General features: G+C 41.7%; 2 annotated features.

Moving 5' to 3' along the window:
• Positions 10,530-14,821: an enhancer, noted in NCBI's record as "VISTA enhancer hs1717". NCBI's record gives its function as "enhancer in: forebrain[11/11]" and the evidence as "EXISTENCE:transgenic organism evidence [ECO:0001131][PMID:17130149]".
• Positions 13,077-14,821: an enhancer, noted in NCBI's record as "VISTA enhancer hs1597". NCBI's record gives its function as "enhancer in: forebrain[4/5]" and the evidence as "EXISTENCE:transgenic organism evidence [ECO:0001131][PMID:17130149]".

Below are 24,076 nucleotides of genomic sequence, written 5' to 3'. Positions count from 1 at the left end.
GAAGACCCTTAACCCTCCAGCTCCTTCTAAATCTCCCCACCCTTCTCTGGGCCTTCCTGTTCTCCAACTCCATCTTATCATCATGTCAGATATATCCCTTGTGCTACTTCCTATTTCTCCCACCTAGAACCTAGACATTAATTGGGTCCATTACCCCTTGAGATCTCAGCTTGACACCCCCTCAATTCCACAGCTTTTGAAAGTCTTGCTCATTTCCAGGAATTTACCCTGGAGACTTCCATTCCAGCTTCCCTTCATGATGTGTTTTTGCCTTGCATGCAGGCCAGGTGCAGTGGCTCACCCCTGTAATCCCAGCAGTTTGGGAGGCCGAGGTGAGCAGATCACTTGAGGTCAGGAGTTAGAGACTAGCCTGGCCAACATGGTGAAACCCTGTCTCTACTAAAAATACAAAAATTAGCCAGGCCTGGTGGCATATGCCTGTAACCCCAGCTACTCAGGAGGCTGGGGCATGAGAATCACTTGAACCCAAGAGGTGAAGGTTGCAGTGAGCTGAGATCACACCACTGCACTCCAGCCTGAGTGACAGAGCAAGACTCCATTTCAGAAACAAACAATTCATCCCTGCATCCTTCAATACTCCCTGGAGAATCCCCTTTCACAAAAAAAGAATGACTTTTCTAAAGACAGTGTAAGAGTGACAAGAGGGAAGGAGGCCCATAGCACACACCATGACAAACAACTTAAAAATTCCCTCTTATTAATTCCTTTTCTCCCAAAGTCTTTTGTGCTGCTGTGCCCCTAAGGGCTCTCACCTTCTGTCCTTCATTCAGGTGGTGCCCCACCCTGCTTGCTGCTCACTCCCCTCTCCCAGGTCCCTCCCCTCCCCTCAGCATTATGATTCTTCTCCTTTTTGTACAGAACAGTTCGCCTCTCCCAAAACTCTGCCCTAACCTGCACACCACCCTGATTTGGGAGTTCTCACAGCAGTTATGACTATAATGCACAATATTCTATACAAACCTAATTATTCCTTTCGTCATTCCTTTCATAGGTAGTATAGGAGCAAACCATTGTGTTACCTGGTGGTTACTTTAGAACACCCAAATGTTGTTTAGATATGAAAACATCTTAACAATTTTGTTGTTTTGAATATGAAACCTGGATTTGGGAAAGGCAAAAATCAAGAAAAGATGATTAGAGGATGGCCCGACGTAGTGACTCACGCCTGTAATCGCAGCACTTTGGGAGTCCGAGGCAGTCAGACCACTTGAGGTCAGGAGCTCAAGACCAGCCTAGCCAACGTGGAGAAACCCCACCTCTAGTAAAAACACTAAAAATTAGCCGGGTGTGGTGGTGCATGCCTGTAATCCCAGCTATTTTGGGGGGCTGAGGCAGGAGGATTGCTTGAACCCGGGAAGTGCAGGTTGTGGGGAGCCGAGATCGTGCCACTGCACTCCAGCCTGGGCAACAGAGCAAGTCCCTCTCTCTCTCTCTATGTATATATATATGCGTGTGTGTGTGTGTGTGTAGTTAGAGGAGACAAGATACCAGCATACTTTGGAAATATTATAGGTTCGATTCCAAACCACTGTAATAAAGCAAATATTTCAATAAAGCAAATCAAATAAATTTTTTGGTTTCCCAGTGCACATAAAAGTTGATGTGCAATAGCATTATGTCTAAAAAAAACTATAATTTAAAATGCTTTATTAAAAATGTTCAAAAGAATAAATCTGACCTACTATTTGATAGCAAAATAGGGTGACTATATAGTTAATAATAGCTGTACATTTTAAAATAACTTAGAGTGTAATTGGTTTGTTTGCAATTCAATGGGTAAATGCTTGAGGGGATGGATACCCCTTCTTCACAATGTGCTTATTTCATGTTGCATGCCCGTATCAAAATATCTCATGTAGCCCATAAATATGTACACCTACTATGTATCCACAAAAGTAAAAAATACTTCATTGCTAAAAAATGCTGGCACAGATACATGAAGTGAGCATATGCTGTTGAAAAATGGGCACTGATAGACTTGCTTGATGCAGGGTTGCCACAAACCTCCAATTTGTAAAAAATGAAATACCTGGCCGGGCGCGGTGGCTCACGCCTGTAATCCCAGCACTTTGGGAGGCCGAGGCGGGTGGATCATGAGGTCAGGAGATCGAGACCATCCTGGCTAACAAGGTGAAACCCCGTCTCTACTAAAAATACAAAAAATTAGCCGGGCGCGGTGGCGGGCGCCTGTAGTCCCAGCTACTCAGGAGGCTGAGGCAGGAGAATGGCGTGAACCCAGGAAGCGGAGCTTGCAGTGAGCCGAGATTGCGCCACTGCAGTCCGCAGTCCGGCCTGGGCGACAGAGTGAGACTCCGTCTCAAAAAAAAAAAAAAAAAATGAAATACCTGCAAAGCACAATAGAGTGAAGTTCAATAAAGCAAGGTTTACCTGTGTAAACCATAAGTATTTAAAGACAAGGCAGGTGACATTGTAACACATGGCAATAAGGAACAAATTTTTTTTTTTTTTTGAGGCAGGGTCTAGCCCTGTCACCCAGGCTGGAGTGTAGCGACACAATCTCAGCTCACTGCAACTTTCGCTTCCTGGGCTCAAGTGATTCTCCCACCTTAGCCTCCTGAGTAGCTGGGACTGCAGGCATGCACCACCATGCCTGGCTAATTTTTGTATTTTTTTTTTTTTTTGGTAGAGACAAGGGCTCCTTATATTGCCCAGCTGGTCTTGAACTTCTGGGCTCAAGCAATCCTCCCCACCCACGTGCTGAGCCACTGTGCCCAGCCTAGGAGCAATGATTATTAGGAACTTAACTAAGTATGGTAGAAAGCACCAAGAGTTAAAAAAATATTTTGGTGACACAAAAGAAACTTTACTAATGTGGGCATAAAATATTCGAGTAATTTTACATAAGCATTACATAATGATGTATAATAAAGGATTTACTGATATCCTTTTATACCTAGATATATGCTGTTATATAAAAATACAAATGACTACTAAATCTAAAGCTTATGTCTATCGCTTTGAAACACAAAGTATCAGTATATTAAATAAAACAAGATATGTGTATATTTACTAGCTGAATAAACTGAAACAACTTTTAAAAATAAACATTAATCATATCCATTATATTGCATACATGTTTGTATTTATCTATAATTATTATTCTTAGAATAGTCAACCAATTACAGTAATTATCATCTTTAACCCAAGTACAGTCATAACCTAAGTATGTTTATGTCAGTAATGGGCTGCAATATATGGTGGTGGTCCCATGAGATTATAATGGAGCTGAAAAATTCCTATCGCCTAGCAAGATCCAGCCGTCGTATCATCATAGCACAATGCACTACTCATGTGTTTGGGGTGATGCTGGTATAAACAAACCTAATGCACTGCCAGTCTTATAAAAGTATAGCATATACACGATGTATAGTACATAATACTTGATAATAAATGACTATGGGCTGGGTACAATGGCTCATGTCTGTAATCCCAGCACTTCAAAAGGCTGAGATGGGGTATGGCTTGAGTTTGAAACCAGCCTGGGCAACATGGTGAAAACTCATCTGTACATTTCTATAAGAAATACAAAAATTAGCCAGTCATGGTGATGTGTGCCTGTAGTCCCAGGTACTCGGGAGGCTGAGGTGGGAGGATGGCTTGAGCCTGGGAGGTGGAGGTTGCAGTGAGCCGAGATCCCACCACTGCACTCCAGCCTGGGCAACAGAGCCAGACTCTGTTTCAACTTAAAAAATAACAACAACAATAACAAACAACTATGTTACTGATTTATGTATTTATTATACCATACTTTTAATCATTATTTTAGAGCATACTCTTTCTACTTATGTAAAAAGAAGTAAAATAGCCTCAGGTAGATCCTCCAGGAGGCGTTCTAGAAGAAGGCATTGTTATCATAGGAGAGGACAGCTCCGTGTGTGTTATTGTCCCTGAAAACCTTCCAGTGGAACAAAATATGGAGGTGAAAGACAATGATATGGATGACATGGTGAAACCCCGTCTTTACTAAAAATACAAAAATTAGCTGGGCATGGTGGCACATGCCTGTAATCCCAGCTACTTGGGAGGCTGAGGCAGGAGAATTGCTTGAGCCCGGGAGGCAGAGGTTGCAGTGAGCCGAACTTGTGCCACTGCACTCCAGCCTGGCTGACAGAGCGAGACTCTGTCTCAAAAAAAAAAAAAAAAAAAATTGAGATATAATTCACATACTATAAAATTCACCGTTTTAGTACACTTTGATGGCTTAATTATTTTTTTAAGAAATGGGGTCTCACTCTGTTGCCCAAGCTGGGGTGCAGTAGTGCAATCATAGCTTACTGCAGCCTTGAAATCCTGGGCTCAAGCAATCCTACCACCTAAGCTTCCCAAGTAGCTGCGACTATAGGTGTGTACCACCACACTGACTAATGTTTAAAAATTGTAGAGACAGGATCTCACTATGTTGCTCAGGCTAGTCTTGAACTCTTGGCTTCAAGCGATCCTCCCACCTAGGCCTCCCAAAGCGCAGAGATTATAGGTGTGAGCCACTGTGCCTGGCCTAAAGTGTACAATTAGGTGTTTTTTAGGATAGTTTCAGAGTTCTACAATCATCACCACTATCTAATTCCAGAACATTTCATAATTCCTTGAGGAAATCCTGTGTAACCATTATCAGTCACTTCTTATTTCACCCTCCCCCTAAGTCCCTAATAACTACTAATCTTTCTTTCTCTGTGGATTTGGCTATTTTGGATATTTCGTATAAATGGAATTAGATTATATGTGGCCTTTCGTGTCTGGTTCCTTTCACTTAACCTAATGTTTTCAATTTTTTTTCATGTTGTAATATGTATCAGTACTTCATTCCTTTTTATGGCTAAATGATATTCCGTCATATAAATATACCACATTTCGTTTATGCATTTATCAGTTGATGGACATTTAGGCTGTTTTCACTTTTTGGCTGTTATGATTAATGCTGCTATGAACATTCATGTACAAGTTATTGTATGTACATATGCTTTCATTTTTCTTGGGTGTATACCTAGGAATAGAATTGCTGGGTCATTTGCTAGTTTTATGTTGAGCTTTTTGAGAAATTGCCAAACTGTTTTCCACAGTGGCTGTACCATTTTACATTACTACAGCAATGCACAAAGATTCCAAATTCTCATTGTGGTTTTGACTTCTAGTTTCCTAAAGACTAATAATGAACATCTTTTCATTTCTTATTGGCCATTTGTATATCTTCTTTGGACAAATGTCTATTGAAGTACTTTACTAATTTTCAAATTTTTTTATTGTTGAGTTGTGAGAGTTTAAAAATATGTATATTCTGGCTATTAGACCTTTATCAGATACATGATTTGCACATATTTCCTCTCATTCTTTGTCTTTCTACTTTCTTGACAGTGTCCTTTCACATGCAAAGTTTTTAGTTTTGATAAAGTCCAGTTATCTGTTTTTTCTTTTGTTACTGTGCTTTGTTTTTGGTATTATATCTAAGAAACTGTTGAGTAATCCAACATCACAAAGATATACATCTGTGTTTTCTTTTATAAGTTTTATAACATTGTCTATAAACATTAAGGTCTTTATTCCATTTTGAGTTAGTTTTAGCATATGGTGTGTGGTAGGGATCTGAATTCATTCTTTTGCATGTGGATATCCAGTTGTCTCAGCACTATTTGTTGAAAAGGCAATTCTTTTTCCATTTAACGTACATTTGTTGAAAATCAATGACTATTGATTTCCACTGAAGGCACACTGGTTGAAAATCAACGACTATTGATTATGCCAGTAAGGCATAAGGATAGACATATAGATAAATGGAATGGTTTTCATTGCTGTCATTTTGTAGTTTTTTTGTGTGTTTTTATTTTTATTTTTTGAGACAGGGCCTCTGTTTGTCACCTATGCTGGAATGCAGTGGCATGAACACAGCCCACTGCATCCTTAACCTTCTCCTGGGCTCAAGCAATCTTTCTGCCTCAGCCTTCCAAATTGCTGGGACCACAGGTGCATGCCACCATACCTGCCTAATTTTAAAAAAAATTTGTAGATACAGTCTCACCATATAGCCCAGGCTGGTGTCAAACTCCTGGGCTCAAGCAATCCTCCCGCCTTGGCCTCCCAAAGTGCTAGGATTACAGGTGTGAGCCACCGTGCTCAGCCCAATTTCATTTTTTGATTATTCATAATTGACTTTTTTTTTAAAAAGTGAAAGCCAGTTTATTAAAAGAAAATAAAGGAATAAAATAATGGCTACTCCATAGGCAGAGCAGCTCATAACTGACTTTTAAAACAATGCAGTTGCATTATTCTGATAAAAAATGAAAATTAATTCTAAAAATAAGAAAAAAACAGTGTTTGGCAGAGGCTTCATATAAAATTTGAAAATAAGCCTGATACAGAATCCCATTTAGCAAACAAATTATATGAAATTTTTATTTCCAGTAGTTTAGCTCTCCCACTGCAAAAACCCAAATGGTAGATAAATTAGAGCAAAATAATTTAAAATACATTTATGGACTCACAAGAAAATAAAGTCCTTTTCACAATGCTAAAGGCAAATGTTTGTTGAATTGAAATTATATATCAAGTAATGCTATGTTTTAAGAATAAGGGATACATTCTGGGAAGATAGTGATAAATGCAGAATTTTGAGAACAACTTAATAGCAAATCCTCAAGCCCATGCACAGTATTGACAATAAGACTAGGTGACCAGGTATTATCATAAAGCGCACAATATCAAAAGTGGAAACAAAAGGCAATGAGATGGACAATATGAGAGAATAGAAAATTCTATGATTATTATAAGGGATTGTACATTCAACTATTAAGAGACCCAGAGAGAACAGGAGATGTGATGAGGAGAGATGTGTTAAGGAAGTAACATAGGAAATGTCCTAGAATTGTAGGGTATGAATCTCAAAAATGAAAGGTCCTATCAAGTACCCCATACAACAAATGAGAAAAGCCTTATATTAAGATACATCACTGTGAAATTACAGAGCACAAAGAAATAGAGAAAATCCTATAATCTTACAGAGAAAAATGGGTTGCAGAAAGGATTAGAAAGAATAATGGCATCATTTCTAGAAGGCAATGGAGCCATGCCATCAAGATTCAGAGTGAGAATTATTTCCAACCTAGAATTTAATACCCAATGAAACTATCAATGAAGTATGAAGGTAGAAAAATTCATTTTCAGATATGCAAGGTGCATTAGTTAGGATATAAATATTGAGAGGAGGTAGATAAACTTAAGAAAAACAAAAATTATATAAGAAATGTGACATATTTATTGCTTGGCTTATCAGAAAATAAGCTTGATGCATCATAATATACTCGTATAGTAAACACTGGACAGCTATGATGTAGATGTAACTATTTTGGTAGACAGTGGTAGGAATAAACTGGAGAGAAGTGGGTAGAGAGGCAAATCTTTATCTTTTTCAGTTGGAACTCAAAACACATCTTTGCTGGGCCAGTGGCTCACGCCTGTAATCCCAACACTTTGGGAGGCCGAGGCAGGTGGATCACCTGAGGTCAGGAGTTTGAGACCAGCCTGGTCAGCATTGTGAAATCCCGTCTCTACTAAAAATACAAAAAAATTAGCCGAGTGTGGTGGCGGGCACCTGTAATCCCAGCTACTCGGGAGGCTGAGACAGGAGAATCGCTTGAACCCAGGAGGTGGAAGCTGCAGTGAGCTGAGATTGCACCACTGCACTCCAGCCTGGGCAACAAGAGTGAAACTCTGTCTCAGAAAAAAATCAATCAATCAATCAAACAAACAAAAAACACATCTTCTACAATTAAAGAATTTTGAGATTGCAATTACAGATAACAACTACTGTAACCTATATAATATCCTTTTCCTCTTATTTACTAACAGAACACTGATTTTACTTGAGGAAGCTGAGCATTCAGCTAAAAATTAAAAATCTGCCCATCTTTTCTGCAGTGGGGGTGGCCTTGTGACACAATTGTAGCCATTGAAATGTAAGGAGAGGTCCCTGGCAGTGATGTTGAAATGTAAGCAGTCAAGCGGGTTGTCCAGGTACAGTGGCTCATGCCTGTAATCCCAACACTTTGGGAGGCAGAGGCAGGGGAATAGCTTCAGCTTGGGAGTTCAAAACCAGCCTGGGCAATGTAGCAAGACTCTGTCTTTATGGAAAAAAAAATTGTCCAGCGTGGTGGTGCGTCAGTGTAGTCCTAGCTACAGCCACTTGGCAGGCAGAAGTGGGAAGGTCTCTTGAGCCCGGAAAGGTCAAGCTGCAGTGAGCCATGATACATTTAAAAAAAAAAAGAAGGTTGACTCAACTAGCACTTTTCTTTTGTGCCTTTTCATCCATCTACTTACTCCTGCCCTAGTTGCAGACATATGGCTGGAGCTCTGGCAACTCTATTGAAAAGACTAAGACAGAGGTATAGGGTCACCCCTGAAGATCACAGCTATAAAAGGGAAAGCTGTAAGGAGCCAGGTCCTTTTGGCATCATAGACTGCAATATTACCTCTGAACTCCTTTTGACATCAGAGAAAATAACACTGTATCTTTAGGTTTCTGTTACTAGTGCATTTCCTACTTGATAATCAATATATGGATATATAATAGGGGAGTCTAATTGCTTTAACAAATAGATGCCAATATGCACACTGACTCAAACATAATAGAGTTCTTTTTTCATAATAGTACTGGGCAGGTAGAAGCAGACTGGTAGGTCAGTCTTCCTTCTTTCCCTCATTCAGACACTGGCTGATGAATGCTTTTTTTTTTCTTTTTTCTTTTTTTTTTTTTTTTGAGATGGATTCTCACTCTGTCGCCCAGGCTGGAGTGCAGTGGCATGCTCTTGTGCCTCAGCCTCCCGAGTAGTTGGGATTATAGGCATGCGCCACCACGCCCAGCTAATTTTTGTATTTTTAGTAGAGTTGGGGCTTCACCACATTGCCCAGACTGGTCTCGAACTCCTGAGCTCCAGCAATCTGCCCTTCTTGGCCTCCCAAAGTGCTGGGATTACAGGCGTGAACCACTGTACCCAGCCTAATGAATGCTCTTTCATCTTTTAGTATGTGGCTTCCAGAGCCTGCAAGGACATCATCTCCATTCCAGGCAGCCATAACAAGAAAGATCATAGGCTGGGCATGGTGGCTCACACCTGTAATCCTAACACTTTGGGAGGCTGAGGTGGGCAGATTGCCTGAGCTCAGGAGTTCAAGACCAGCCTGGATAACATGGTGAAACCCCGTCTCTACTAAAATACAAAAAATTAGCCGGGTGTGGTGGCGTTTGCCTGTAGTCCTAGCTACTCAGGAGGCTGAGGCAGGAGAATTGCTTGAACCTGTGAGATGGAGGTTGCAGTGAACTGAGATTGCGCCACTGCACTCTAGCCTGAGCGACAGAATGAGACTCCCTCAAAAAAAAAAATAAATAAAAAATAAGAAGAAAGATCATAGAGGAGCACATGGGTGAACATGGTGGTTTTAGGGACCAGGCTTAGAAGTGGCACTAGCACTTCTGCTCACATTTCATTGGCTAGAGCTCAATTGCCTCTAACTTTGGGGCTGGGGGCCTGGAAGGAGGAAGAGGAGACAGGAGCAGGAGCTGAAGAATGAGATCTAGCTGTACACCCAGGAAAAAGAGAACATGGATTGTGGAGGGCTGTTAGTCTCTGACATAGCTTATGACTTAGAAATTTGCAGGTAACCAACATAAGAGGAAGCTTAAAGAGTTGGAAGTTGCTACCTCCTGAAAATAGGACTCAGAGGTAGAGTAGGCTAGGCCAAGGGACCACAGGCTTTTGTTAAAAAAATCCTTTTAATACTATTTTATTTTTATCTCTTTGTTTCTTTGTTTTTCCTGAGACAGGGTCTCACTTTGTCACTCAGGCTGGAGTGCAGTGGTGCAATCTTGACTCACTGCAACCTCTGCCCCCTGAGTTCAAGTGATTCTTGTGCCTCAGCCTACCAAGTAGCTGGGATTACGGGCATGCACCACCATGCCCGGCTAATTTTTGTATTTTTAGTAGAGACAGGGTTTCACCACGTTGGCCAGGCTGGTCTCGAACTCCTGGCCTCATATGATCCACCTGCCTTGGCCTCCCAAAGTGCTGGGATTACAGGCGTGAGCCACTGTGCCCAGCCAATACTATTTTATTGTAAAAACACTTTATAAATATTACCTTGTGAAAAAAAAAACACTGCCAACTTAATTTATAAAAATAAAGCAAAAGGGCCAGGTGCAGTGGCTCATGCCTGTAATCCCAGCACTTTGGGAGGCCGAGGCGGGTGGATCACCTGAGGTCGGGAGTTCAAGACCAGCCTGGCCAACATGGTGAAACCCCATCTCTACTAAAAAATACAAAAATTAGCCAGGAATCGTGGCACGCACCTGTAATCTCAGCTACTCAGGAGGCTGAGGCAGGCGAATCGCTTGAACCTGGGAGGCAGAGTTTGCAGTGAGCTGAGATTGTGCCATTGCATTCCAGCCTGGGTGACAGGGCAAGACTCCATCTCAAAAGAAAAAAAAAAGTTTCAGCTACATCTTCCTTTTGCATGCCTGTCTCTGCCTCTGCCACCAATCTCCCCAAGGGTGGGAACCCTTTCTTTTTTTCTTTTCTTTTTCTTTCTTTCTTTTCTTTTCTTTTCTTTTTTTTTTTTTTGAGATGGAGTCCCGCTCTGTTGCCCAGGCTGGAGTGCAGTGGTGCAATCTCGGCTCAGTGCAACCACCTTCCTGGTTCAAGCGATTCTCCTGCTTCAGCCTCTTGAGTAGGTGGGACTATAGGCGCCTGCCCCGACACCTGGCTAATTTTTGTATTTTTTAGTAGAGATGAGGCTTCACTATGCTAGCCAGGCTGGTCTCGAACTTCTGACCTTGTGATCCGCCTGCCTCGGCCTCCCAAAGTGCTGGGATTACAGGCATGAGCCACAGAGCCTGGCCATTCTTTTGTATTTTTATTCGAGCCAGGGTTTTACCATATTGGTCAGGCTAGTCTCGAACTCCTGACCTCAGGTGAGCCACTTGCCTCTCCCTCCCAAAGTGCTGGGATTACAGGCGTGAGCCACTGTGCCCAGCTGGGTGAGAACCATTTCTTAGATCCATCTTCTTTCTTCTTCTCCAGAGACCCACACAGGACCACATGCTGCTAAACACGCAGAAAAAAATGTTGAACAGAATGGCATTCTGCCCTCTTTGCTTGCAGTGGGCTCGCTCTCATCTAACAGCCGCTCATTCTTCCCACGTGTCCAGCCTGGTAGATTTGTGCTGTAGCATGCACTGCTTCAGTCCTGAGAGACTGGCCAGATTCCAGGGCCCTTGTACTCACTGCTTGATGAAGCCAGAGGAATGCCTGCAGCGGATGAGCACATTCCCAACCAGTGTGCAAATAGTAATGAAATCACTGCAGCTTCCTGTGGGGAGTCAAACACCATGACCCTAACCCCAGCAAGAAGATGCTGATGGGTACATTAATAGACATGGATTTTCCAGGATGCAGAGTCCTTGCATTTCACTCTGTCCTGGATCATTACCATTAAATTATAGCGTTATCTTTTTCTTTGACTTTTCAGTATCGTGAGATTGCAAGAAAAGGTTTTCTTAGATCTTCACTTGCTCAACAAGGAAATGGGATGCCGTGGGAAGTTATGAGTTCCCTGCCTGGGGTGCTCGATAACTGATTGGCAGGGATGTTGTGGAGGCGGAGAGGAGGACTCCAACCCCAGGATGCTATGAGTCTTTAGTGCCCATTGTCCCTAGGACGCCACCAGAGGTACGCAATCTGATGCGGATTTCGCAACACAGCTTCTGAGGTTAGTGATGCAAGTTCATTCAGGAGAAAACTGTGTGGCTGGTGAGATAGACCCAGGCTGTTGAGGCTGCTGCTGGGGCTAGAAGGGTCTGACTCATGCTTCGCAGCCCGTGCCAGCATTTCAGAGGGAAGCGATGTTGTCTCTTGTTCTTCCTCCGCTCATCCCCTAAGCCAGGCGTCTGGTCTTCAGCCCTTGTCTCTTTCATTGCACACAACCACCTGAGAAATCTCAGCCACCCCCCAGCCTCAACCCCCATCTCTGTGATAACTCCTAACTCTGTCTACAGCCTTGACCTCATCCCTAAGCAACAGACTCATATAGCTAACAGTTTATTGGACATCTTCATCTCATTGTCCTACATTTCAAACATGATGTTATAAAATTGGGATGTTTTCTCCTGGCTTCAAATCTGAAGTCCCTCATCCAGCCAGCCACCCCATACAGAAACCTTCCTCCATCTCCCTCTTAAGTTCATTTCTACCTTGTGTGCAAGTCCTGTGTATTCCACTTCTATGGCGTCTCTTCTTATTGGCCTTTTTCATTCTAGCTCTATTACCACTGATTTCATTCCTGCCAGAGTGAGTATACTTCAACCCAAGTGGGACTCCACCTCCACCAGGTGGTCATTCCCCTAAAAAAAAAAAAACAAGCATAAAACACAAAAAGACTGACAATACCAAGTGTTGACAAGAATATAGAGCAATGAGAACTCCTGTGCATCCCTGGTGGGCGTGTACATGGGTAGAACAACTTTGGGAAACTAGAAGTATCTACTCAAGTAGATATATGCATAGCCCACAACCCAGCAATTCCACTCCTAGATATGCATGCAACAGATTTACCCCCAGAGGAGCACGTAAAGGCATGTGCAGGAAGGTTTACAGCCCCAAACTGGAAACTGCACAAAGCTCATCAACAATTGCAGTGCATCCATACAATGGGATATCAACCAGCAATGAGCAAGAACAAAGTGCATTTATGTCTAACAACATGGGGGAGTCTTGCAAACATATGTGGAGTGAAAAAAGCCACACACAAGAAAATAGTGAAAACTAGTTTATGATGTTAGGATGGTTATTTTTCTTGTATGTAAGTAGTTCCTGAAAGAGGCCAGAGTGGATCTCTGGAGTTTTAGTAATAATTTGTTATTGTTTTAATCTGAGTGCTATTACGTAGATGCGGTCAGTTTGTGAAAAATTTTGTACTTTTCTATACATATGTTACATTTCAATAAAAAGTTTACTAAAACACATCCACCTATGCATACACACTGAAAAAACAAAATCTCTTCCATGGTTCCTCATGCCCTGAGGAGAAACTTCCAGACCCTAACAGAACACTCATAGATCTCCATGATGTGACCCTGCCTGCCAGGCCACACCCTTCCCATCAGTACTATGTGTGCCACGCACTAGACCATTCTCCTTGCTGATCTCTGTGCTACTCCTTCAGCCTGAATCCCTCTGTCCACCTGGCTCTGTCTGAAGATGCCACCTCCTCCGTGAGGCCTCTTCTGATTTCTGAGACCACACATGCTGCTTTTCTTTCTCACACAGCTCTGAGCTCTTTCTGCTTGCATGTGTTCCCTTGACTGAAGGCAGCATGCCATGAAAACGCAGCCCAGGGAGAGATTTGTGTGGTCTCAGAAATCAGGAGAGGCCTCACAGAGGAGGTGGCGTCTTCAGACAGAGCCAGGTGGACAGAAGAATTCCAGGCTGAAGGAAGAGCACAGAGACCTGCGCAGAGAATGTGGAGTGGGCTGGTAGATGGCACACATGCCCCAGGTGGGCAGGAGGGGGCCTGCTAGACAGGGTCACATCATGGAGGGCAGAAGGTAAACCTCCTCGAGGTGGCAGAAATGGTGCCTGGTTCATCTTTGTAGACCCTGCTAGGGCCAGTGCTGTGCCTGGTACAGTGCTTGAGCTAACAAATGTTTGAGAAATGATTGAATGTATGCTCTGAGTTAAGCTGTAGTCCACAGTGCCAGAAAGCCAAGACACCCAGTGTGCCTGCAAACAAGCTTCTGCCGAGAGCCAAGTCCCTTTGGAACCAAACACATCCTGTAGTCCTTTATTGGCTGCTGACAGCCAGGTCGATGTAAATGTGTTGTGCAGCATTGTGGGCGTGTCCAATTAGACTCAGTGAGATGGAGCAGCCCAACTAACATGAATAAGCTGTGCAAATATGTGGTTAATGACCATGTCGCTCCGTGTCAATTCTTAATCCCGGATAATTAGCAGATAGATAATTGGTGGAAAAAGGGGAGGTGCTGATGGATGGCCCATCACTTGGGTGAAGCTAATGATCCTCTATGGATTAAGACCCACCCTCTGTAAGTGTTGATGGCTCTTATTTGAAATGCTCCTTTTGAAAGGGCCTAGATCCAAGAAAAGGTGTCAGGAACTCCAGAGCTGGGCGTTGGCATCAGGACTAATTCCCTGGGCTGCTTCCATGAAAGGTGGGCTGACATGTCCCGCTGCTGCCAGCCTTGTGCAGGCAGCCAGAGTCCTGGGCTACTCCTGACTTGCTGGGTAATCCCAAGGAGGGCCTTTTTCCTCTCTTAGTTTCATCGTTTGTCTAATAGCAAAGAGCGGGAAGGCTGGGGTGGGTGTGCTGACTTGAGAATCCACTGTAGATGAGAGTTTCCCTCACCTGCCCCTCCTTAACTACATTGGAGGTGTGTCATTCGCTGCCATTGAAATGGTTTGGGTGGACTAGCTGGCCTTGATGATAGGGTGCGGTGGAGGGGACATGCAGGGGTTGAAAGCAGACACCTGAGATGGAAGCTTGTGGTACCTTATGTGATTTGAGGCAGGGCCAGCTAGCCGTCCACCAGGATGGGTGCATCTGGTGCCACAGGGTGAGTCATCACTGCACAACAATTGCTCAGCCAGCAACTCCATTTCCCAGGCCCCTTTGCACTAAGTCAGGTACAGTACAGTGTTTCCTGTTGTTGACAGCTGGCATTTGTTCCGATTGGCTGGGTGTCCACTCCGACTGGTTGGTGCGTGTGCTGAACTAGCCAAAAAGTATTTTTTCTTTTTTTGGTTTTAAGGAGCAAAAAGTTTAATAGGCAAGAAAGAAGGAAGAAAAAAGAGACCAGCTCCCTCATACAAAGACAAGGGAGGAGGACTTGGAACAAAGAGAAACCCTGTGTGCAGCACAAAGGCAGTCCATTATATAGGGAGGCTGGAGGAGGCAGTGTCTGGTTTGCATAGGTCTCAGGGGATTGGTTTGACCAGGTGTGTCATTCACGTAGCCCATGAACAACCTGGCCTTCCCACCTTAGCCCTTTAATATGCAAATGTCGGTCGCCATGATGTTCTGAACACATGGTGTTATCTGGAGGTGGCCATCACACTTGGCACAGGTGGTGACAAGGGGAAGATGGCAGGAATCACCATACTGAGTGAACCCAGTTTCTAATGGCCAACATTTGCATATCAAAGCTTGCCTGCTGGGCCCTTCTAGCCACCTTTTCTGTTAGAAAATAGATGGTTTGGGGGTTGTTTCTTATTACAGGAAAATTTCCACTGAGAACCTTTACCCTTACTGTCTGTCTGCCTAAAATAATTTCTTTTTTTTTTTTTTTTTTTTTTTTTGAGACGGAGTTTCGCTCTGTCGCCCAGGCTGGAGTGCAGTGGCGCGATCTCGACTCACTGCAAGCTCCGCCTCCCGGGTTCACGCCATTCTCCTGCCTCAGCCTCCCGTGTAGCTGGGACTACAGGCACGCGCCACCATGCCCGGCTAATTTTTGTATTTTTAGTAGAGACGGGGTTTCACCGTGTTAGCCAGGATGGTCTCGATCTCCTGACCTCGTGATCCGCCCGTCTCGGCCTCCCAAAGTGCTGGGATTACAGGCATGAGCCACCGCGCCCGGCCAAATAATTTCTTAATAACTCCTGGATTATTCCCCCCTCAAAGAGAAGTAAACCTAATTGCTGTTAGGGGGTGTTGGATGACGAATCTTTCAGACTAGTTGAAAGTATTTCTAACATCACTCCTAGAGGTATGAATCCCTAAACAAGAAAGATATGATTTAGTTTTATCCATTTTGCATTTTTAATGAATGGGATCAGAAGGCATGTATTCATCAGTGATTTTCTTTTTTATGCTCAGAGATTCACATGCATTGTAAGAAATAATACATGGAGATCCTATGTATCCTTTACCTAGTTTCACCCAAGGGTAGCATCTTGTAAAACAATAGTATAGTATCACAACCAGGATATACTTACATAGATCAATATCGGAACATGTCCAGCGCCACTCATATTGCCTTTTTATGTTCACAGCCACTTCCCTCCCACCCACACCCACTCCTTAACTCTGGGCAATCACTAAGTTGTTCTCCATTTCTATAATTTTTTCATTTCACCAATGATATATAAATGTTATATATTGAAATAGGCTTTTTCCACTCAGCATAATTCCCTGAAGATTACAGATAAGTGTTGTATATATCAACAATTCATTCCTTTTAATTGCTGAGTAGTAGTTCATGATATGGATGTACCACAGTTTAACCACTGATGTGCCATATTTAACCTGTTGAAGGACATCTGTTTATTCCCAGTATTATTTGTTGCTACTATGTAAATAAAGCTTCTATAAACATTTATGTACAAGTTTTAGTGTGAACATAAGTCTTCATTTCTCTGGAATAAATTCTCAGGTGTGCAACTAATGAATTGTATGGTCGTTGCATGTTTTGCTTTAGAAGGAACTGTCAGCCCAGTGTACTAGCTCACACCTGTAATCCCAGTCACTCCTGAGTCTGAGGCAAGAGGATCACTTGAGTCAAGGATCACTTGAGTCCAGGAGTTGAAGACCAGGCTGGGCAACATAGAAAGACCCTGTCTCTACAAAAACAAAAAGAAAATTAGGGCAACACAGTGAGACCTCATCTCTCCAAAAAAAAAAAAAAAAAAAAAAATCTGGATGTGGTGGCAGGTGCTTGTAGTCCCAGCTACTCATGAGATGGAGGGGAGAGGATCTCCTGAGCCTAGGAGTTCAAGGCTGCAGTGAGCTATGATTGCCTTCACCCTGGAGGACAGAGTGAGTAGTTCCTTTTAGTTCTGTAAGGAATCTCCACACTGTTTTCCATAGTGATCGTTCTAGTTTACATTCCCACCAGCAGTGTTGAAGTATATTTTCCCTTTTCACTCTATCCACGCCAACATCTATTATTTTTTGAGTGTGGTCATTCTTGTGGGAGTAAGGTGGTATTGCATTGCGGTTTTGATTTGCATTTCCCCGATCATTAGTAATGTTGAGAATTTTTATATGTTTGTTGGCCATTTGTAATCTTCTTTTGAGAATTATCTATTCATGTCCTTAGCCCACTTTTTGATGAGACTGTTTGTTTTTTTCTTGCTAATTTGTTTGAATTTGTTGTATGTTTTGGATACTAGTCCTTTGTCAGATGTACAGATTGTGAAGATTTCTCCCACTCTGTGGGTTGTCTGTTTACTCTGCTGACTGTTCCTATTGCTGTGCAAAAGCTCTTTAGTTTAATTAAGTCTCACCTATTTATCTTTGTTTTTATTGCATTTGCTTTTGGATTCTTGGTCATGAAATCCTTCCCTAAGCCAATGTCTAGAAGGGTTTTTCCAATGTTATCTTCTAGAATTTTTATAGTCTCAGAGGGCCTGGATATCTTTGAGGACCATCACTGAGCCTATCACAGTGGCATGAAGTTGCACCTAGGCTCCTTACTTGACCTTTTTGGTGTGGTTACACGTGGGGTCACAGTTTTCTGTGGTGTTTGGCTAGAGGGGAGCAGTTTATTGTCTAAAAGTTTTCCATCTTGCTAGGCTTCCCCTGTTCTGCTTATTTGGCTAGAGGAGGCTTTTGGGGGCAATTTGTTTTGTCCCCTGTGGCATTTTTGGGTCATTTTCAGCTCCAAGTCTGGGATATACAAGGCAAAAAGAAAATATGCTTATATTCATTCACCCCTACTCTGACTATGTAGACCTTTGGAAATCCCAAGTTTTGTATAGTCTTCTTGTGTGGTCTCCACCTTGAACAGGCCCTCGATGCGTATTTCTTGTCTCTTGTACCTCAAAAAGCCTACAAAACAGTGCTGAGCCTTCGGGATTGGCAGCTACCCTCAGGGCAATTACGGCTTGCTCATTTCTAAGAATTCCTGATTTCATTTCATTTTGGGCCTCTGTGGATTTTAAAAAATTTTAAAAAATTGCCTACTAAGCAATGCATTTTAAGGGATATTTTATTCAGATAGTTTAGTTGTTTCCCTTGGTGTTTAGTCTTCTTTGCTGATGGAAACAGAAGTCTCAGTGCTTTTTCCACCAAGATATCTGTCCCCACATTTCACAGTGTTGATGTTACCCAAGCTCTTGACCTGGATACACTTTGCATGCCTTTTATAGGGTCAGGGAAATTATTGCTCTCACTGCAATGGGAAAGGTTGGAGGAACAGACTTTAGAGTCTCCGTGGCAAGTCCCTGCTGTCTTAACCTGAAAAAAGCAAGGCACAAATCCTTTATGGTGCCAGCCCAGGATCCCTTTCTTCTGATAACATCTTCCTGATTTGCAATTGCTTTCTGGAAGACTTCTTTATTGGATTTGGTCATGATTGAACTGTCTGTTGGTCAATGTGCTTCGTCCCCTACTAGTCAACGGAAGTATGTGATATTGGAGATATCACATACTCCCCACGGTGTCCCTGGAAGCTGAATTGTGAGCTCAGTGGCTCAGTGAGTGACAACTTCACCTTGACAGTGGACTCACAACTCATTTATTAGTTCCTGGAGCCTACGTATTAGCTACTGTTTTGAATTGTGTCCTCTTTAAGGCCTGATTTTTCAGCTTTCTCTTGAGTTTTGTGAACTGTCTCATGCCTTCTAATATGTTCCTGTTACTGTTTAATTATTCAGAGTTGTATTTTTTTTTTTTTTACTTGCAACCAAAGAACCCTGATTGATAGTGCTGTAGAAAGCCTGCAATGCCTTGTTCCTTTGGAGTGCCACTTGAATGCCTGTTAGAGGATGGGTGTAGAATTAAGAAATGGGTATGTGGGTGAGTCTTCAGTGGATGCCTGATATCCTAGAGACTTAGGGCTGTAAGAGTCTTCAAAAGTCATTTGGGGGCTGAGCATGGTGGCTCACGCCTGTAATCCCAGCACTTTGGGAGGCTGAGGTGGGTGGATCACTTGAGGTCAGGAGTTCGCGACCAGCCTGGCCAAATGGTGAAACCCTGTCTCTACTAAAAATACAAAGATTAGCTGGGTGTGGCAGTGCGTGCCTGTAATCCCAGCTACTTGGGAGACTGGGACAGGAGAATCACACTCCAGCCTGGGGGACAGAGCAAGACCCTTGCAAAAAAAAAAAAAAAAAAAAAAAAAAAAAAGTCATTTGGACCCAACCCCTACCCAGCGAATGAATTCCCTTACAACATCCCCACTGACTGCTTTTTCAACTTTGTTTGGACACCCCTCCAGAATGAAGAGCTTGTTACTGCCTGAGGCAGCTAGCTTCACCCTTGGCTGCCTCCAATTATCTGAAACTTCTTCCTTTTATTAGCTGAAATCTGATGCTACATAGCATTGATCCTATCTATGCTCCCTCTCCTGCCTTCTCCACTCTGGAAACTCCTTAGACACTTCAAGAAACGGAAATGTACCCCAGACTGGCTTTCTTCAGGCTACACAAGCCTAATTCACCTAATTCCTCCTCCTGGGACACAGGTTGCAGCCACTGCGCCATTCCGTTTGTCTTCTATGACATAGTCCAGTTAATCAATGCCCATCAAAAAGTGTGAAGCTCATGGGCAATTCAGACACCCTGAGCAGGGCAAAGTCAGGTATGACCATTGCCTCCTCACTCTGGGCACTCTATTTCTTTTAATGCTGCTACAAATGAAGTTTATTATTATGGAAGCCTCATGACATTCCTGACTCACAGGGAGCTTAGCATTGGCTAAGCCTTTAAAACGCATGCTGTTACCTATTGTGGCTTCCCTAGCTAGTCCATGTGTTATTTGTTTTTTGAACTCATGGCCCTACTTTATAATATGGCATATCCTACCTAATTTTTCTATAGCATTGTCAGAATGATCTGGCTATGGGGTTAGGTAGTTTCTAGATTCCCTTTGTATTATTTGTTCTGGATATGCAGAAGAAGAGAATGTTAAGAAACACCGCCTCTCACTCAAACAGTGTTCAAACACATATTGGAGCAGAAGTCATGAGTGTAATAATGAAAAAACCTCAGTCCAGGTTGTAGGGTGTGTTATTCACATCCTTTTGGGAGCAGTTTATTCTAATTATAATATTGGACTTAAAGGCCAGAAGAAAGTGGGTTGAATCTGCTGTTTTTTGTTTTTTTTTTTTTAAGAAAACTAGAAAACTTTACTGAAGTGACACTGGCATAAGGATAGATATATAGATCAATGGAATAGAATAGAGAGTCCAGAAATAAACCCATACACCTATGACTAATTAATTTTTGACAAGGGTACCAAGAGCATTCCATGGGAAAAACAGTCTCCTCAACAAATGGTGCCATGACAATGGATATCCACATGCAAAAGAATGAATTTGAACTCCTACCTCATACCATATACAAAAATTAATTTACTAGTCCTAACAGGCATATATACGTGACTCTTCCTAACAGTAAAATACATATTTTTCTCAGGTGCACATGGCACATTCTCTGAGATAGACCATGTATTAAGCCACAAAACAAGTCTTAATAGATTTTAACAAATAGATATCATACAAAGTATTTGCTCTGAACAAAACAGGATGAAGTTAGAAATCAATAAAAGAAAACCAGGGCTGGGCATGGTGGCTCGTGCCTGTAATCCTAGCACTTTGGGAGACCGAGCTGGGCAGATCACTTGAGGTCAGGAGTTCAAGATCAGCCTGGTCAACATGGTGAAACCCCATCTCTACTAAAAATACAAAAATTAGCCAGACATGGTGGCCCAACCCTGTAATCCCAGCCAGTTGGAAGGCTGAGGCATGAGCATCAGTTGAGCCTAGGAGGTGGAGGTTGCAGTGAGTTGAGATCACACTGCTGCACTCCAGCCTGGGTGACAGAGTGAGACCCTGTCTCAAAACAAACAAACAAACAAACAACCCCCCCCAAAAAAAACCACAGAAAATTCATGAATCTATAGAAATTTAAAAACTCATTCTTAACCAATGGGTCAAAAAGAAATCACTTATTTAGATATTAGGGATATTAGAAAATACTTGGAGACAAATGAATATACAGCATACCCAAACTTATGGAATGCAGTGAAAAAAGTGCTCAGAAGGAAAAATTATAGCTGTAAGTGACTGCATTAAAGATAAAGATCCCAAGTTGCTAACCTGATTTTACACCAAATTTTACTTTTTCTTTTCTTTCATTCTTTTCTTTTTCTTTTTTTTTTTTTTTTTTTGAGATGGAGTTTTGCTCTTGTCACCCAGGCTGGAGTGCAATGGTGTGATCTCGGCTCACTGCAACCTCTGCCTCCTGGGTTCAAGCGATTCTCCTGCCTCAGCCTCCTGAGCAGCTTGAATTACAGGCACCCACCACCATGCCCAGCTAATTTTTTTTATTTTTAGTAGAGATGGGGTTTCATCATGTCGGCCAGGCTGGTCTTGAACTCCTGACCTCAGATGATCCACCTGCCTCAGCCTCCCAAAGTGCTGGACTACAGGCGTGAGCCACCATGCCCAGCCCAAATTTTACTTTTACTAAAAGTAGAGCAAACTGAACCCAAAACTAGTAGAAGAAAGGAAATAATCAAGGTTAAAGTGGAGGTTAAAAAATAGAGAATAGTAAAACAGTAGAGAAAAATCAATGTAACCAAAAGTTGGATCTTTGAAAAGATCAACATAATGAACAAACCTTTAGCTAGACTGACAAAGAGAAAATAAAGATGTTCCATAAATAACTAAATGCAGAAGTGAAAGTGGAGACATTACCACCAACCTCACAGAGATTTAAAAAAAAAAAAGATTATAAGAGAATACTATGAGCAGTTGTATGCCACTGCATTAGACAACCTAGAAGAAAGGGACAAACTGCTTGAAATACACAAATTACTTAAACTGACTCAAGAAGAAATAGAAAAATCTCAACAGATCTCTAACAAGTAAAGAGATTAAATCAGTGATCAAAAACCTCCCAACAAAGATAAGTCTGGTATCAGATGGCTTCACTGGTGAATTCTATCAACTATTTAAAGAAGAATTAAAACCAATTCTTACCAAACTCTTCCATAAAATTGAAGAAGAGGGAACACTTCCTAATTCATTCCATGAGGGCAATATTTCTCTGATACCAAAGCTAGATAGACATTATAAGAAAATTACAGACAAATATTCCTTTTGAATATAGATGCAAAAATTCTCAACAAAATATTAATAGATAAAATCCTAGAGCAAATTAAAAGGATTTTCAACATGATCAAGTGAGATTTATCTCAGGAATGCAAGGATGGTTCAACATAAGAAAATCAATCCATCACTTTTATACAATGAAGAGGGGAAGAAACTGCATGATCATCTCAATGCAGAAAAGGATGTTGCATTATTTGACAAAATCCAACATCCTTTCATGATGAAAAACTCTCAGGAAACTAGGAACAGAGAGAAAATTCCTCAAAATGATAAGGCGTATTTATTTAAAAGTTCACAGTTAACATCATACTCAGTGGTGAAAAACTGAAAGCTTTCTTCCTAATAACAGGAACAAGAGAAGAATGTTTGCTTTATGCTGTCCAACATTGTACTGGAAATTCTAGCCAGAGCTATCCGAAAAGAAAAAGAAATAAAAGGCACCCAAACTGGAAAGGAAGAGGTAAAACTATCTCTATTCACAGATGACATGATCTTATATGTAGAAAATCCCAAAGAATCCACAAGGTTACTAGAGCTATTAAACAAATTCAACAAAGTTGCAAAATATAATATTAACATAGAAAATCAGCTGTAAGAAGGAAATTAGAAAAGTAATTCCACCTACAATAGCAGCTAAAAGAATGAAATACATTAGCAGCTAAACGAACGAAAGAATAGGAATACATCTAACCAAGGAAGTGAAAGACATAGACTGAAACATTGCTGAAAGAAATTAAAGGCACAAATAAATGGAAAAACATCCCTGATCATGGATAGAAAGACAATATTGTTAAGATGTCTATTCTACCCAAAGTGTTCTACAGATTCAATGCAATCAAAATTCCAACAGAAACAGAAAAGGCGATACTTACATCCACATGAAACTGCATTTTGAATAGCCAAAACAAATCTTGAAAAAGAGAAATAAACTTGAAAGCTTCACACTACCCAACTTTGAAACTTACTACAATGCTACAGCAATTAAAACAATACTGGCAGTCCAGGTGCAGTGGCTCAAGTTTGTAATTCAAGGACTTTGGGAGGCTGATGTGGGAGGATCACTTGAAGCCAGGAGTTTGAGACCAGTCTGATCTTGCAATATAGTGAGACCCTATCTCTACAAAAATAGAAGACAAAAACAACAACAACAACAAACGGGCATGGTGGTGTGTACCTGTAGTCTTAGCTACTCAGGAGCCTGAGGCAGGAAGATCCCTTGAGCTCAGGAGTTTGAGGCTGCAGTGAACTATGATTGTGCCACCACACTGCAGCCTGGGAAATAGAGCAAGACCCTGTCTGTAAGAAAAGGAAAAAAAACAAAAAACAGAAAAACAGTACTGGCATAAGGACAGACATATACACCAATAAAATAGGACAAAGATCCCAGAAATAAACCCTCATGTATACAGTTAATTGATTTGTTCAAGGATGCCATAAAGGAAAGGACAATGTTTTCAGTAAATGGTGTTGAGACAAACAGATATATCATGCAGAAGAATGAACTTGGTCCTTTACACCATATACAAAAAAGAACTCAAAATGAATCAAAGACCTAAACTGAAGAGCTAAAGCTATACGACTTTTAGATGAAAAATTTGGGAAAATCTTCATGACATTGGATTTGACAATGACTTCATGGGTATAACAGTAAAAGAGTAGAAAACAAACAAAAAAGAAAAATTGAACTTTATCAAGGTTAAGAACTTCTGTGCATCAAAGAATACTATCAAAAAGTGAAAAAGATGACCTAGTAAATGAGAGAAAATATTTGTAAAGCATATACCTGATAAGGAATTAATATTCAAAATACATAAAGAACATCTAAAACTCAGTAACAATAAAACAACTTAATTCAAAAATGGGCAAAGGACTCGAATAGACATTTTTCCAAAGAAAATATACAAATGGCCCCTAAGCACATGAAAA

This window comes from Homo sapiens, chromosome 9, assembly GCF_000001405.40.
Source record: "Homo sapiens chromosome 9, GRCh38.p14 Primary Assembly".
NCBI lineage: Eukaryota > Metazoa > Chordata > Mammalia > Primates > Hominidae > Homo > Homo sapiens.
This window is presented reverse-complemented; position numbering and strand designations above follow the sequence as displayed.